Source organism: Homo sapiens, chromosome 9 (genome assembly GCF_000001405.40).
Source record: "Homo sapiens chromosome 9, GRCh38.p14 Primary Assembly".
NCBI classification, from domain to species: Eukaryota; Metazoa; Chordata; class Mammalia; order Primates; family Hominidae; genus Homo; species Homo sapiens.
In genome coordinates, this window is record NC_000009.12 from 32,678,808 (window position 1) to 32,694,233 (window position 15,426).

Genomic DNA, 15,426 nt, shown 5'->3' on the forward strand with positions numbered 1-15,426 from the left:
TTTAAGTCACTGGTTCTTAACTTTGGTGGCAGTGGAGGTGAAGGAGGTGTTGCAGACTCCTTTGAGAAATCAATGGAGGATATGGATTCAGTTTTCAAAAAATGCTTACACATACCCCACCCACACCCCCCAACCACAAACTTTTATGTACAATTTCAAGGATTTCATGCATCCCAGTTTAAGACCTCATGTCTCCATTTCGGCACTGACTACACATGAACTTGAATGTGACTGAAACATTTTTTGTAATCACAAAAATATAAGATTTCCACTTAGCGCCCCTGAAAATCACCTAGGTTTCTAACCTGTTCCTCTTCCATTTCCTAAGGGTTCTTACTATGGACTTCCCTGGGTGGTGGTGGCAGGGGGGCTATTTCTCAGCTCAGCAGAGAATGCTGTTTCATAGTTAAGCCAGTGTTTCTCAAACAAAAGCCTTTGGAAGAACTTGGACTCATTCCATCTCCAGGCCCATGGCTTCTGGACTGGCTGTGCTAGGAAGGGTAGGCCAAATTTTAGCTGTCCCCAGTAGACTTTCCTCTCCACTGGGCTGAGAGTATTATCAAAGAGACCCCAGATTTAGAAGCCAGGCTGGAAGTGGGTAGAATGGTTCAAGCTGCTCCTTTTCTGAAGAGACGTAACTTGGTCTGGCTTGTCTACAGGTTTGAGTCAGGGATGATGGGTGCCTGAGAGGAGGGGAGAGTGGAAGCCATTAAGACAAGGAAACTTTTAAGGGCTTTGGTGGTGCTGGCAGTTGGCATGAGTGGGACACGTGGAACTGGAGCTTGTATTAAGAAGTTAAAGCTGGAGTAAAATGTTTCCCACACTTAAATGTTCTCAGTGCTCAGATCAGTCCACCTGTCTGAAGCCGCCGGAGAGTGTCTGGGGCAGCATTATTCTTGCTGCTTTATTACTATCATTGCCATGTGGCCTCTAATCTCTGTTATTAAGAACAACTTTGTTTTACCCAGATTCTTCACTTTCTAGAAACTCTCACTTCATGATTACTTAATGGGCATTTACTTACCACTTTCATTTTCCTACAATTTGAGGGCTTTTTCAAGAATTTCAAAAAAGGGTCAAAATTTCTGATTCCCTTCTAACTGGAAGTCTTGAGAAAATATCTTGCATGCCATAACAATTAAATAAACATGTTTCAATTTCTCCAGTTGATGAAAAAGTCCAATTTTGTTTCATATTACTTCTGCAGAATTACAGAAAATGAAATGTTGGCAGAATTCCATGGGAAAAAATAAGGATTTTAGCAGTTTTGCCTAATTCAATTACATCATTACTTCCCAAACTCACCAGTTGTTATACCATATTGCAAAATGTCACCAGTACTTTCCCAGTTTCATATATTATGGAGAAAAGAGAATTTTATTATGTGCCTGTACAGAAAGTGGAAGAGGAGTTTGTACAAGAGAAGTGTCACATGACAGTGACTGCGTGCACTTGCCTCCTACAAATTCTGATAGGTGCAGAGAAAAGATTTTAACGAAGTTTATTAGTTCATAATTTTTTTAAAGAACAAAATTTGCAATTTTACTTTGCCTTAATGAGTTAACACAATGTGTTCAATGTATTATGTAGAATAATACTCATGAAATAGATGCTTTCTGTGGACTCAAAAATAGAGGCTTTACATTCACAGTTCTGTCTACCTGGAACTCCCCACCATGCACATACACACTTTCTCTCTCTCTGTCTCCTCTCTCTCTCTCTCACACACACACACACACACACACACACACACACACACACCCCTTCACAAATTCATTCCAGGGCATCCTTCATTCTTCACCTGATTGGAAAAGTGATTCTATGTCCAACGTGAGTAGAGAAGGGGCTCCAACCCAAGGACGTGGTATCTGTTTGAGAAGAAGGGAGGAAAGGTGGGAAATTAGCAAGCATAAGGTTTCAGTGGAAATTATGTCACTCTCTTCCTGCCCCAGTCCCCATGGCACTGTAAATGTGAAAGCAGCCCCAGCCCAAGCCTAAAGGAAGAATAATCTATTATTTATGAATGTAAGCAGTGAAGCCATGGAGCACTTAAAGCACAGATACTGGAAGCAAAATGCCTGGATTTGACTCCCAGCTCTAAAGGTTACTAACTGTGCCACCACAGATAAATTGTTTAACCCCTTTTTTGCTTCAGTTTCCTAATTGGTAAAGGGAAATAATAATAATAACAATAAGAAGAAGATAAAGGAGGAGGAGCAGGAGAAGGAAGATGAGCAGCAAGATGTCGGACTAGAAGGCTCCACCTATCATCACCCATCCAAGGACACCAAGTTAATAACTATCTATACAGAAAAAACACCTTCATAAGAACCAAAAATCAGGTGAGCCCTCATAGTACCTGGTTTTAACTCCATATCACAGTACAAGATATAAATAGAAACAACAAAAAGTTAAAAATCAGGGAAACAAAGTTATGGCATAGAGTTCGTATTTTTTATTTTTTGCTTGAATACGCAAACAGTGTTATGTTGTTATGAGGTTAAAATAATGGGTTATAAGATAGTATTTGTAAGCTTCATGGTAATCTCAAACCAAAAAACATACAACAGAGACACAAAAAAATAAAAAGCAAGAAACTAAATCATATCACCAGAGAAAATCACCTTTCACTAAAGGAAGACAGAAAGGAAAGAAAGAAAGAAGAGAAGACCATAAAATAATCAGAAAACAAGCAACAAAATGGAAGGAGTAAGTTCTTACTTATCAATAACATCACTGAATGTAAATGGACTAAACTTTCTAATCAAAAGACACAGACTGACTGAATGGATGAAAAAACAAGACCCATTGATCTGCTGCCTACAAGAAACACACTTCCCCCATAAAGACACATATAGGCTAAAAATAAAGGGATGGAAAAAGACATTCCATGCCAATGGAAACCAGAAAACAGTGGGAGAAATTATACTTATATAAGACAAAATAGATTTCAAAACAAAAACCGTAAGAAGCTACAAAGAAGATCACTAATGATAAAGGGGTCAATTCAGCAAGAGGATATAACAATTTTAAATATATAAGTACCCAACACTGGATCACCCAGATACACAAAGCAAATGTTATTAGAGCTAAAAAGAGAGATAGGCCCCAATACAACAATAGCTGGAGACTTTGAGACACTTGACTTTCAGCACTGGACAGATCTTCCAGACAGAAAATCAACAAAGAAACATTAGACTTAATCTGCACTACAGACTGAATGGATCTAATAGATATTTACAGAACATTTCATCCAATGGCTTCAGATTACACATTCTTTTTCTTAGCACATGCATCATTCTCAAGGATAGGCCATATGTTAGGTCACAAAACAAGTCTTAAAACATTCAAAAAATTTTAAATAATGTCAAGCATTTTCTCTGACCACAGTGGAATAAAACTAGAGATTAATAACAAGAGAAATTTTGAAAACTATGCAAACACATGGAAATTAAACAATATGCTCCTGAATGACCAGTGGGTCAATGAAGAAATTAAGAAGGAAATCGAAAATTTTCTTGAAACAAATGATAATGGAAACACAACATACCAAAACCTATGAGATACAGCAAAACCAGGACTAAGAGGGAAGTTTATAGCTATAAGTGCCTACATCAAAAAAGAGAAAACGGTGGCTCACACCTGTAATCCCAGCACTTTGGGAGGCCGAGGCAGGTGAATCACAACATCAGGAGATCAAGACCACGGTGAAACCCCATCTCTACTAAAAATACAAAAAATTAGCTGGGTGCAGTGGCAGGCACCTGTAGTCCCAGCTACTCAGGAGGCTGAAGCAGAAGAATGGCATGAACCTGGAAGGTGGAGCTTGCAGTGAGCTGAGATTGTGCCACTGCACTCCAGCCTGGGCGACAGAGAGAGACTCCGTCTCAGAAAAAAAAAAGAGAAAAAAACCTTCAAATAAACAACCTGATGATGCATCTTAAGGAATGAGAAAAGCAAGAACAACCCAAACACAAAATTAGTAGAAGAAAAGAAATAATAAAGATCAGAGTGGAAATTAATGAAATCGAAGTGAAAAAATACAAAAGATCAATGAAACAAAAAGTTGGATTTTGAAAAGTTAAACAAAATTGACAAACCTTGAGCCAGACTAACTAAGAAAAAAGAGAGAAGATACAAATAAATAAAATCAGAAATGAAAAAGGAGACATTACAACTAATACAGCAGAAATTCAAAGGTTCATTAGAAGTTACTATGAGCAACTATATGCCAGTAAATTAGAAAATCTAGAACAAATGGACACATTTCTGGACACATACAATCTACCAAGATTGAACCAGGAAGAAATCCAAAACCTGGACAAACCAGTAACAAGTAGTGAGATCAAAGCCATAACAAAAACTCTCCCAGTAAAGAAAAGCCCAGGACCCGATGACTTCAATGATGAATTCTACAAAACATTTAAAGAAGAAATAATATCAATCCAACTCAAACTATTTCAAAAAAATAGAGGAGCAGGGAATACTTCCAAACTCATTCTATGAGGCTAGCATTACCCCAATACCAAAACCAGATAAAGACACATCAACAAAAGGAAACTGCAGGCCAGAATCTCTGACAAATATTAATGCAATTTTTTGCAACAAAATAATAGCAAACCAAATTCAACAATACATTAGAAAGATCTTTCATCATGACCAAGTGGGATTTATCCCTGGGATGCAAGAATGGCTTAACATATCAAATGCTTTGCGAAGAAAGTTCAACATATCAAATCAATCAATGTGATATATCAACAGAATGAAGGATAAAAACCATATGATTATTTCAATTGATACTGAAAAAGGATTTGATAAAATTCAACATTCCTTCATGATAAAAACCCTCAAAAAAACTGAGTATAGCAGGAGTATAAGTTAACATAATAAAAGCCATATACAACAGACCCACAGCTAGTATCATACTGAATGGGGAAAAAACTGAAATCCCCTCCTCTAAGATCTGGAACATGACAAGGATGCCCACTGATATCACTGTTATCCAACACAGTACTGGAAGTTCTAGCTAGAGCAATCAGACAAGAGAAAGATATAAAGGGCATCCAAATTAGAAAAGAAGTGAAATCATCGTTGTTTGCAGATGATATGATCCTATATTTGAAAAAATCTAAAGATTACACAAGAAACCTATTAAAAATGATGAACAAATTTAGTTGCAGGATATAAAATCAACATAACCAAAATCAGTAGCATTTCTATATGCCAACAGTGAACAATCTGAAAAAGAAATAAAAAAGTTACCCCACTTACAATAGCCACACATAAAATTAAATACCTAGGAATTAACTAAAGAAGTGCAAGATCTCGATAGCCATTCCAAGATGGCCGAATAGGAACAGCTAAGGTCTGCAGCTCCCAGCGTGGTCAAAACAGAAGAAGGTGCTTTCTGCATTTCCAACTGAGGTACCTGGTTCATCTCATTGGGGCTGGTTGGACAGTGAGTGCAGCCCACAGAGGGTGAGCCAAAGCAGGGCAGGGTATCGCCTCACCTGGGAAGTGCAAAAGGTCGGGGGATTTCCCTTTCCTAGCCAAGGGAAGCCGTGACAGACTGTACCTAGAAAATTGGGACACTGCCACCCAAATACTGCACTTTTCCAATGGTCTTAGCAAACGGCACACCAGGAGATTATATCCTGTGCCTGGCTCGGCGGGTCCCATGCCCATAGAGCCTTGCTCACTGCTAGTGCAGCAGTCCAAGATCAAACTGCAAGGTGGCAGTCTGGCTGTGGGAGGGGCATCTGCAATTGCTGAGGCTTGAGTAGGTAAACAAAGCAGCTGGGAAGCTCAAACTGGGTAGAGTCCACCTCAGCTCAATGAGGCCTGCCTGCCTCTATAGACTCTACCTTTGCGGGCAGGGCATAGCTGAACAAAAGGCAGCAGAAACTTCTGCAGACTTAAATGTCCCTGTCTGACAGCTCTGAAGAAAGCAGTGGTTCTCCCAGCATGGTGTTTGAGCTCTGAGAAAAGACAGACTGCCTCCTCAAGTGGGTCCCTGACCCCCATGTAGCCTAACTGGGAGACAACTCCCAGTAGGGGCCAACTGACACCTCATACAGCCGGGTGCCCCTCTGAGACGAAGCTTCCAGAGGAAGGATCAGAGAGCAATATTGGCTGTTCTGCAATATTTGCTGTTCTGCATCCTCTGCTGGTGATACCAAGGCAAACAGGGTCTGGAGTGGACCTCCAGCAAACTCCAACAGACCTGCAGCTGAGGAACCTGACTGTTAGAAGGAAAACTAACACACAGAAAGGAATAGCATCAACATCAACAAAAAAGACATCCACACCAGAACCCCATCTGTAGGTCACCATCATCAAAGACCAAAGGTAGATAAAACCACAAAGATGGGGAGAAACCAGAGCAGAAAAGCCGAAAATTCTAAAAACCAGAGTGCCTCTTCTCCTCCAAAGGATCACAGCTCCTCACCAGCAACAGAACAAAGCTGGACTGAGAATGACTTTGACCAGCTGACAGAAGTAGGCTTCAAAAGGTCGGTAATAACAGACTTCTCCGAGCTAAAGGAGGATGTTCGAACCCATTGCAAGGCAGCTAAAAACCTTGAAAAAAGATTACACGAATGGCTAACTAGAATAAACAGTGCAGAGAAGACCTTAAATGACCTGATGGACTGAAAACCATGGCACAAGAACTATGTGATGCATGCACAAGCTTCAGCGGAATACAGAGTATCAGTGATTGGAGATCAAATGAATGAAATGAAGCAAGAAGAGAAGTTTAGAGACAAAAGAGTAAAAAGAAATAAAACCTCCAAGAAATATGGGACTATGAGTAAAGACCACATCTACGCTTGATTGGTGTACCTGAAAGTGACGGGGAGAATGGAATTAAGCTGGAAAACACTCTTCAGGATATTATCCAGGAGAATGTCCCCAACCTATCAAGGCAGGCCAACATTCAAATTCAGGAAATACAGAGAACACCACAAAGATACTCCTCGAGAAAAGCAACCCCAAGACACATAATTGTCAGATTTACCAAGGTTGAAAAGAGGAAAAAATGCTAAGGGCAGCCAGGGAGAAAGGTCGGGTTACCCACAAAGGGAAGCCCATCAGACTAACAGCTGATCTCTCAGCAGAAACTCTACAAGCCAGAATAGAGTGGGGGCCAATATTCAACATTCTCAGAGAAAAGAATTTTCAACCCAGAATTTCATATCCAGCCAAATTAAGCTTCATAAGTGAAGGAGAAATAAAATCCTTTACAGACAAACAAATGCTGAGAGATTTTGTCACCACCAGGCCTGCCTTACAGGAGCCCCTGAAGGAAGCACTAAACATGGAAAGGAACAACTGGAACCAGCCACTGCAAAAACATGCCAAATTGTAAAGACCATCGATGCTAGGAAGAAACTGCATCAACTAACGGGCAAAATAACCAGCTACCATCATAATGACAGGATCGAATTCACACATAACAATATTAACCTTAAATGTAAATGGACTAAATGCTCCAATTAAAAGACACAGACTGGCAAATTGGATAAAGAGTCAAGACCCATCAGTGTGCTGTATTCAGGAGACCCATCTCACATGCAGAGACACACATAGGCTCAAAATAAAGGGATGGAAGAAGATCTACCAAGCAAATGGAAAGCAAAAAAAGCAGGGGTTGCAATCCTAGTCTCTGATAAAACAGACTTTAAACCAACAAAGATCAAAAGAGACAAAGAAGGCCATTACATAATGGTAAAGGGATCAATGCAACAAGAAGAGCTAACTATCCTAAATATATATGCACCCAATACAGAAGCACCCAGATTCATAAAGCAAGTCCTTAGAGACCTACAGAGACTTAGACTCCCACACAATAATAATGGGAGACTTTAACATCCCACTAACAATATTAGACAGATCAACGAGACAGAAGGTTAACAAGGATATCCAGGACTTGAACTCAGCTCTGCAACAAGCAGACCTAATAGACATCTAAAGAACTCTCCACCCTGAATCAATAGAATATACATTCTTCTCAACACCACATTGCACTTATTCCAAAATTGACCACATAGTTGGAAGTAAAGCACTCCTCAGCAAACGTAAAAGAACAGAAATTATAACAAACTGTCTCTCAGACCACAGTGCAATCAAACAAGAACTCAGGATTAAGAAACTCACTCAATACCAGTCAACTACATGGAAACTGAACAACCTGCTCCTGAATGACTACTGGGTACATAACAAAATGAAGCCAGAAATAAAGATGTTCTTTGAAACCAACGAGAACAAAGACACAACATACCAGAATCTCTGGGACACATTCAAAGCAGTGTGTAGAGGGAAATTTATAGCACTAAATGCCCACAAGAGAAAGCAGGAAAGATCTAAAATCAACACCCTAACATCACAATTCAAAGAACTAGAGAAGCAAGAGCAAACAAATTCAAAAGCTAGCAGAAGGCAAGAAATAACTAAGATCAGAGCAGAACTGAAGGAAATAGAGACACAAAAACCCCTTCAAAAAATCAATGAATCCAGGAGCTGGTTTTTTGAAAAGATCAACAAAATTGATAGACCGCTAGCAAGACTAATAAAGAAGAAAAGAGAGAAGAATCAAATAGACGCAATAAAAAATGACAAAGGGGATATCACCACTGATCCCACAGAAATACAAACTACCATCAGAGAATACTATAAACACCTCTACGCAAATAAACTAGAAAATCTAGAAGAAATGGATAAATTCCTGGACATGTACACTCTCCCAAGACTAAACCAGGAAGAAGTTGAATCTCTGAATAGACCAATAACAGGCTCAGAAATTGAGGCAATAATTAACAGCTTACCAACCAAAAAAAGTCCAGGACCAGATGGATTCACAGCTGAATTCTACCAGAGGTACAAGGAGGAGCTGGTATCATTCCTTCTGAAACTATTCCAATCAATAAAAAAAGAGGGAATCCTCCTGAACTTATTTTATGAGGACAGCATCATCCTGAAACCAAAGCCTGGCAGAGACACAACAAAAAAAGAGAATTTTAGACCAATATCCTTGATGAACATTGATGCAAAAATCCTCATTAAAATACTGGCAAACCGAATCCAGCAACACATCAAAAAGCTTATCCACCATGATCAAGTGGGCTTCATCCCTGGGATGCAAGGCTGGTTCAACATACGAAAATCAATAAATGTAATCCAGCATATAAACAGAACCAAAGACAAAAACCACATGATTATCTCAATAGATGCAGAAAAGGCCTTTGACAAAATTCAACAACCCTTCATGTTAAAAACTCTCAATAAATTAGGTATTCATGGGACATATCTCAAAATAATAAGAGCTATCTATGACAAACCCACAGCCAATATCATACTGAATGGGCAAAAACTGAAAGCATTCCCTTTGAAAACTGGCACAAGACAGGGATGCCCTCTCTCACCACTCGTATTCAACATAGTGTTGGAAGTTCTGGCCTGGGCAATCAGGCAGGAGAAGGAAATAAAGGGCATCCAATTAGGAAAAGAGGAAGTCAAATTATCCCTGTTTGCAGATGACATGACTGTATATCTAGAAAACCCGATCATCTCAGCCCAAAATCTCCTTAAGCTGATAAGCAACTTCAGCAAAGTCTCAGGATACAAAATCAATGTACAAAAATCACAAGCATTCTTATACACCAATAACGGACAAACAGAGAGCCTAATCATGAGTGAACTCCCATTCACAATTGCTTCAAAGAGAATAAAATACCTAGGAATCCAACTTACAAGGGATGTGAAGGACCTCTTCAAGGAGAACTACAAACCACTGCTCAATGAAATAAAAGAGGATTACAAACAAATGGAAGAACATTCCATGCTCATGGGTAGGAAGAATCAATATCGTGAAAATGGCCATACTGCCCAAGGTAATTTATAGATTCAATGCCATCCCCATCAAGCTACCAATGACTTTCTTCACAGAATTGGAAAAAACTATTTTAAAGTTCATATGGAACCAAAAAAGAGCCCACATTGCCAAGTCAGTCCTAAGCCAAAAGAACAAAGCTGGAGGCATCAGGCTACCTGACTTCAGGCTACAGTAACCAAAACAGCATGCTACTGGTATCTAAACAGAGATATAGACCAATGGAACAGAACAGAGCCCTCAGAAATAATTCCACATATCTACAACTATCTGATCTTTGACAAACCTGACAAAAACAAGAAACGGGGAAAGGATTCTCGATTTAATAAATGGTGCTGGGAAAACTGGCTAGCCATATGTAGAAAGCTGAAACTGGATCCCTTCCTTACACCTTATACAAAAATTAATTCAAGATGGATTAAAGACTTAAATATTAGACCTAAAACCATAAAAAGCCTAGAAGAAAACTTAGGCAATACCATTCAGGATATAGGCATGGGCAAGGACTTCATGTCTAAAACACCAAAAGCAATGGCATCAAAAGCCAAAATTGACAAATGGGATCTAATTAAACTAAAGAGCTTCTGCACAGCAAAAGAAACTACCATCAGCGTGAACAGGCAACCTACAGAATGGGAGAAAATTTTTGCAACCAATTCATCTGACAAAGGACTATTATCCAGAATCTACAATGAACTCAAAACAAATTTACAAGAAAAAAACAAACAACCCCATCAAAAAGTGGGTGAAGGATATGAACAGACACTTCTCAAAAGAAGACATTTATGCAGCCAAAAAACACAGAAAAAATGCTCATCATCACTGGCCATCAGAGAAATGCAAATCAAAACCACAATGAGATATCATCTCACACCAGTTAGAATGGCGATCATTAAAAAGTCAGGAAACAACAGGTGCTGGAGAGGATGTGGAGAAATAGGAACACTTTTACACTGTTGGTGGGACTGTAAACTAGTTCAACCATTGTGGAAGTCAGTGTGGCGATCCCTCAGGTATCTAGAACTAGAAATACCATTTGACCCAGCCATCCCATTACTGGGTATATACCCAAAGGATTATAAATCATGCTGCTATAAAGACACATACACACGTATGTTTATTGCGGCACTATTCACAATAGCAAAGACTTGGAACCAACCCAGATGTCCAACAATGATAGACTGGATTAAGAAAATGTGGCACATATACACCATGGAATACTATGCAGCCATAAAAAAGGATGAGTTTATATCCTTTGTAGGGACATGGATGAAGCTGGAAACCATCATTCTCAGCAAACTATCGCAAGGACAAAAAACCAAACACCACATGTTCTCACTCATAGGTGGGAATTGAACAATGAGAACACATGGACACAGGAAGGGGAACATCACACACCGGGGACTGTTGTGGAGTGGGGGGAGTGGGGAGGGATAGCATTAGGAGATATACCTAATGCTAAATGACGAGTTAATGGGTGCAGCACACCAACATGGCACATGTGTACATATGTAACAAACCTGCATGTGGTGCACATGTACCCTAAAACTTAAAGTATAAAAAAAAAATTGTGTCCCATGCTGTAAAACCATGTTCATTTTCTTAATGTGCCATATCCAAAGCAATGTATTCTTGCTCGGGTAGACTGAGATGTTATTTAGAGTAAAAGGTTGGCAGTGGCATAAGGGCAGGATGGAGAAGAGAGAAAGGCTCTGTACTTATCACCTCCTCTCTTCCTACTAAGATACGCAGTTCTCCTTGTAGTAGCTGCAGCCTCTATGTTTCGATACTACTAGTAATGGGATAACTAGGCCTTTTCTCTTCCCAATGTCAACAGTCCCATTCACTTCCAATCTGGTAAATTGGAAACAAATTAATGACTCCTAGTTTCATTTATCATACTTCAGTGACTCTTTCTTAACCTTTAAAAGGCTTATTTCTCGTTATAATTATCATTATTGGCTGGGCACAGTGGTTTATGCCTGTAATCCCGCACTTTGGGATGCCAAGGTGGGCAGATCACTTGAGGTTAGGAGTTCGAGACCAGCCTGGCCAACATAGTGAAACTTCATCTCTACTAAAATACAAAAATTAGCCGAGCATGGTGGTGGGTGCCTGTAATCCCAGCTACTCGGGAGTCTGAAGCAGGAGAATTGCTTGAACCTGGGAGGTGGAGGTTGCAGTGAGTGGAGATAGTGCCACTGCACTCCAACCTAGGCAACAGAGCAAGACTCCATCTCAATATATATATAATGACAGAAGGTGATATATATAGATATAGATAGATATATATCATTACCAAGCCAGGTTACCCCAGAATTCTAGCCTTGCATTTCACTATTTACCAATGAGCAGGTATCCTGAACTATTAAACTTGATTCCCAGTATGTGCCTTTTGCTTTCCTTATGCTGTTCTCTGCTGGATACAGCCTCCTCCCTAATCTAAACCTATCAGACCATCAACCTGTCTTTTAAATTCACATTTATAACATTACCTCAACCTCCATTTAAAAAATGAGCAGGCCTTTATGTGTTGACCTTCGTTGACAAAAATGATAAACATTTTTGTGGCAACCACTCTACCAAAACTAAGTACAGTCATTTATATCTATATCATAATACCAGTGTATTACACACATAGCATGGCCTTGATCTAAGTCAATCTGCATCATAGTTTCTGTGTATCTTCTGTATAAAAAGAACAATGAAAATATCTGTAATTATTTATATTTCATTATTAATCACTTTAATAAAACATTTTATAAACATTTTCAGCCCATACCTCCAAAGTAGATTGATCTACTCTGATGCCCAAAGTTATTTTAATATAATGCCATTAATAGTATATAGCAACACATTTAAAAGGTTATGATTTTGTCTTGATCTGTACACTAAAATTGAGCTTCAGTGCTCAATGGGCTAAAAAAAGTACAACTCCTCACAGTATTAAACATAAACATTATGATTGGAATGAGTTTCATCATTATTGTTCTTTCATGCAAATCCAAAACACAAAAACAATATGATGATGTTGGAACTATTTACAGTACGTTAACCATCAGTTAAGTTTTAAAGATTGGAGAGGTTATAGAAAGAAGAAAAAAGTCATTTATTTCTTGGAATTTTTAGTATCTACTGATTATAACATAACTAGTAAAGCTTAGAAATTCATTTTGTAAGCTGTAATATTATTATCTGTACTAATAAAAAAGTAAACAGCAAAAAAAGAAGTGAACGATCTCTATAATGAAAACTATAAAATATAGATGAAAGAAATTAAAGTGAACAAAAAATGGAAAAATATTCAATGTTTATGGATTGAAAGAATCAATATTGTTAAAATGTCCATACTACCAAAGCAATCTACAGATTCAATGCAATCCCTATCAAAATACCAATGACATTCTTCACAGAAATAGAACAAAAATCCTAAAATTTATATGGAACCACAAAAAACAAAAAACAAACAAACAAAAAAGACAGAATAGCCAAACCCATCCTAAGCAAAGAGAAAAAAACTGGGGGAATCACATTACCTGGCTTCAAATTACTACATAGCTATAGTACTGTAGTACTACTTTTGGTTACTGCAGGGCTACAGTAACCAAAACAGCATGGTACTGGCATAAAAATAGACACATAGACCAATGGAACAGAATAGAGAATCCAGAAACAAATCCATACACCTACAGTGAACACATTTTCGACAAAGGTGCCAAGAACATACACTGAAGAAAAGACAGTCTCTTCAATAAATGGTGCTGGGAAACCTGGATATCCATATGCAGAAGAATAAAACTACTGCAGAAATAGATGAGAGACCCGTATCTCTCATCACATGCAAAAATCAAATCAAAATGGATTAAAGACTTAATCTAAGACCTGAAAGTATGAAACTACTACAAGAAAACATTGTGGAAAATCTCCAGGACATTGGTCTGGGCAAAGATTTCTTAAGCAATACCCCACAAGCATAGGCAACCAAAGTTAAAAGGGGGCAAATGGGATTATATCAAGTTTAAAAGCTTCTGCAGAGCAAAGAAACAATAACAAAGTGAAGAGACAACATACAGAATGGGAGAAAATATTTACAAACTGTCCATCTGATAAGGGATTAATAAAAAGAATATATAAGGAGCCCAAACAACTCTTTAGGAAAAAATCTAATCCAATCAAAAAATGGGCAAAAGATTTGAATAGATATTTCTCAAAAGACATACAAATGGCAAACAGGCATATGAAAAGGTGTTCAACATCACTGATCATCAGAGGAATGCAAATCAAAACAACAATGAGATATCATCTCACCCCAGTTAAAATGACTTTTATCCAAAAGACAGGCAATAACAAATGCTGGTGAGAATGTGAAGAAAAGGGAACCCTTATATGCTGTTGGTGGGAATGTAAATTAGTACAACTACTATGGAGAAGAGTTTGGAAGTTCCTCAAAAAACTAAAAATAGAGCTAGCATACGCTCCAGCAATCTTACTGCTGGGTATATACCCAGAAGAAAGGAAATCAGCATATTGAAGACACATCTGCACTCCTGTGTTTGTTGCAGCTTTTACAATAGCTAAGATTTGGAAGCAATCTAAATGTCCATCAACAGATGAATGGATAAGGAAAATGTGATACATATCCACAATAGAGTACTTAAGCCATAAAAAAGAATGAAAGCCTGTCATTTGCAACAACATGAATGGAACTGGAGGTCATTATGTTAAGTGAAATAAGCCAGAAACAGAAAGACAAATATCACATGTTCTCACTTATTTGTGGGACCTAAAAATGAAAACAATTGAACTCAAGGACAGAGAGAGTAGAAGGATGGTTACCAGAGGCTGGGAAGGGTAGCAGGGTGCTGGGGAGGAAGGGAGATGGTTAATGGGTACAAAAAAATAAAAAGAATGAATGAGACTTACCAGGTTGATAGCCCAACAGGGTTACTATAATCAATAATAACTTATTTGTACAGTTTTAAATAATTAAAGGAGTTATTGGATTGTTTGTAACTCAAAGGATAAAATATTTGCAATCACCCCATTCTCCATGTGTGCTTATTTCATATTCTATGCCTATATCTAAACATTCATGTGCCCCATAAATATATATACCTACTACGTACCCACAAAAATTAAAATAATAATTATATATATAGAATAAATAGGATTCATGAGAAAGAAATAAGTTATTATACTGGCAGCATCTCGTGCCTAGCACATAGTATGCACTAGAAAAGTACTTGCCGTTCCCGTCTGGGAGGTGAGGAGCGCCTCTGCCCGGCCGCCACCCTGTCTGGGAAGTGAGGAGCGCCTCTGCCCGGCCGCCCATCGTCTGGGAAGTGAGGAGCGCCTCTGCCCGGCCGCCCTGTCTGGGAAGTGAGGAGCGCCTCTGCCCGGCCGCCCATCGTCTGGGAAGTGAGGAGCGCCTCTGCCCGGCCGCCCATCATCTGGGAAGTGAGGAGCGCCTCTGCCCGGCCGCCCATCGTCTGGGAAGTGAGGAGCGCCTCTGCCCGGCCGCCCTGTCTGGGAAGTGA

At 39.0% G+C, this 15,426-nt stretch overlaps 1 long non-coding RNA gene across 2 annotated transcripts in view; it reads right to left on the reverse strand.

The window, feature by feature from the left end:
- Positions 1–479: 479 nt before the first annotated feature.
- Positions 480–15,426, reverse strand: part of LOC105376017 (uncharacterized) — a 104,021-nt gene continuing 89,074 nt past the window's right edge. Inside the window, exons 6-7 of one of the 2 annotated variants that reach the window (XR_929559.2) lie at positions 1,802–1,868; positions 480–1,201 (exon numbers count right to left, since the gene is read on the reverse strand). This is a non-coding gene — a long non-coding RNA (uncharacterized LOC105376017). Of the gene's footprint in view, positions 1,202–1,484; positions 1,869–15,426 lie in introns of those variants that run through there. The other variant, XR_007061451.1, reaches the window with a different exon arrangement.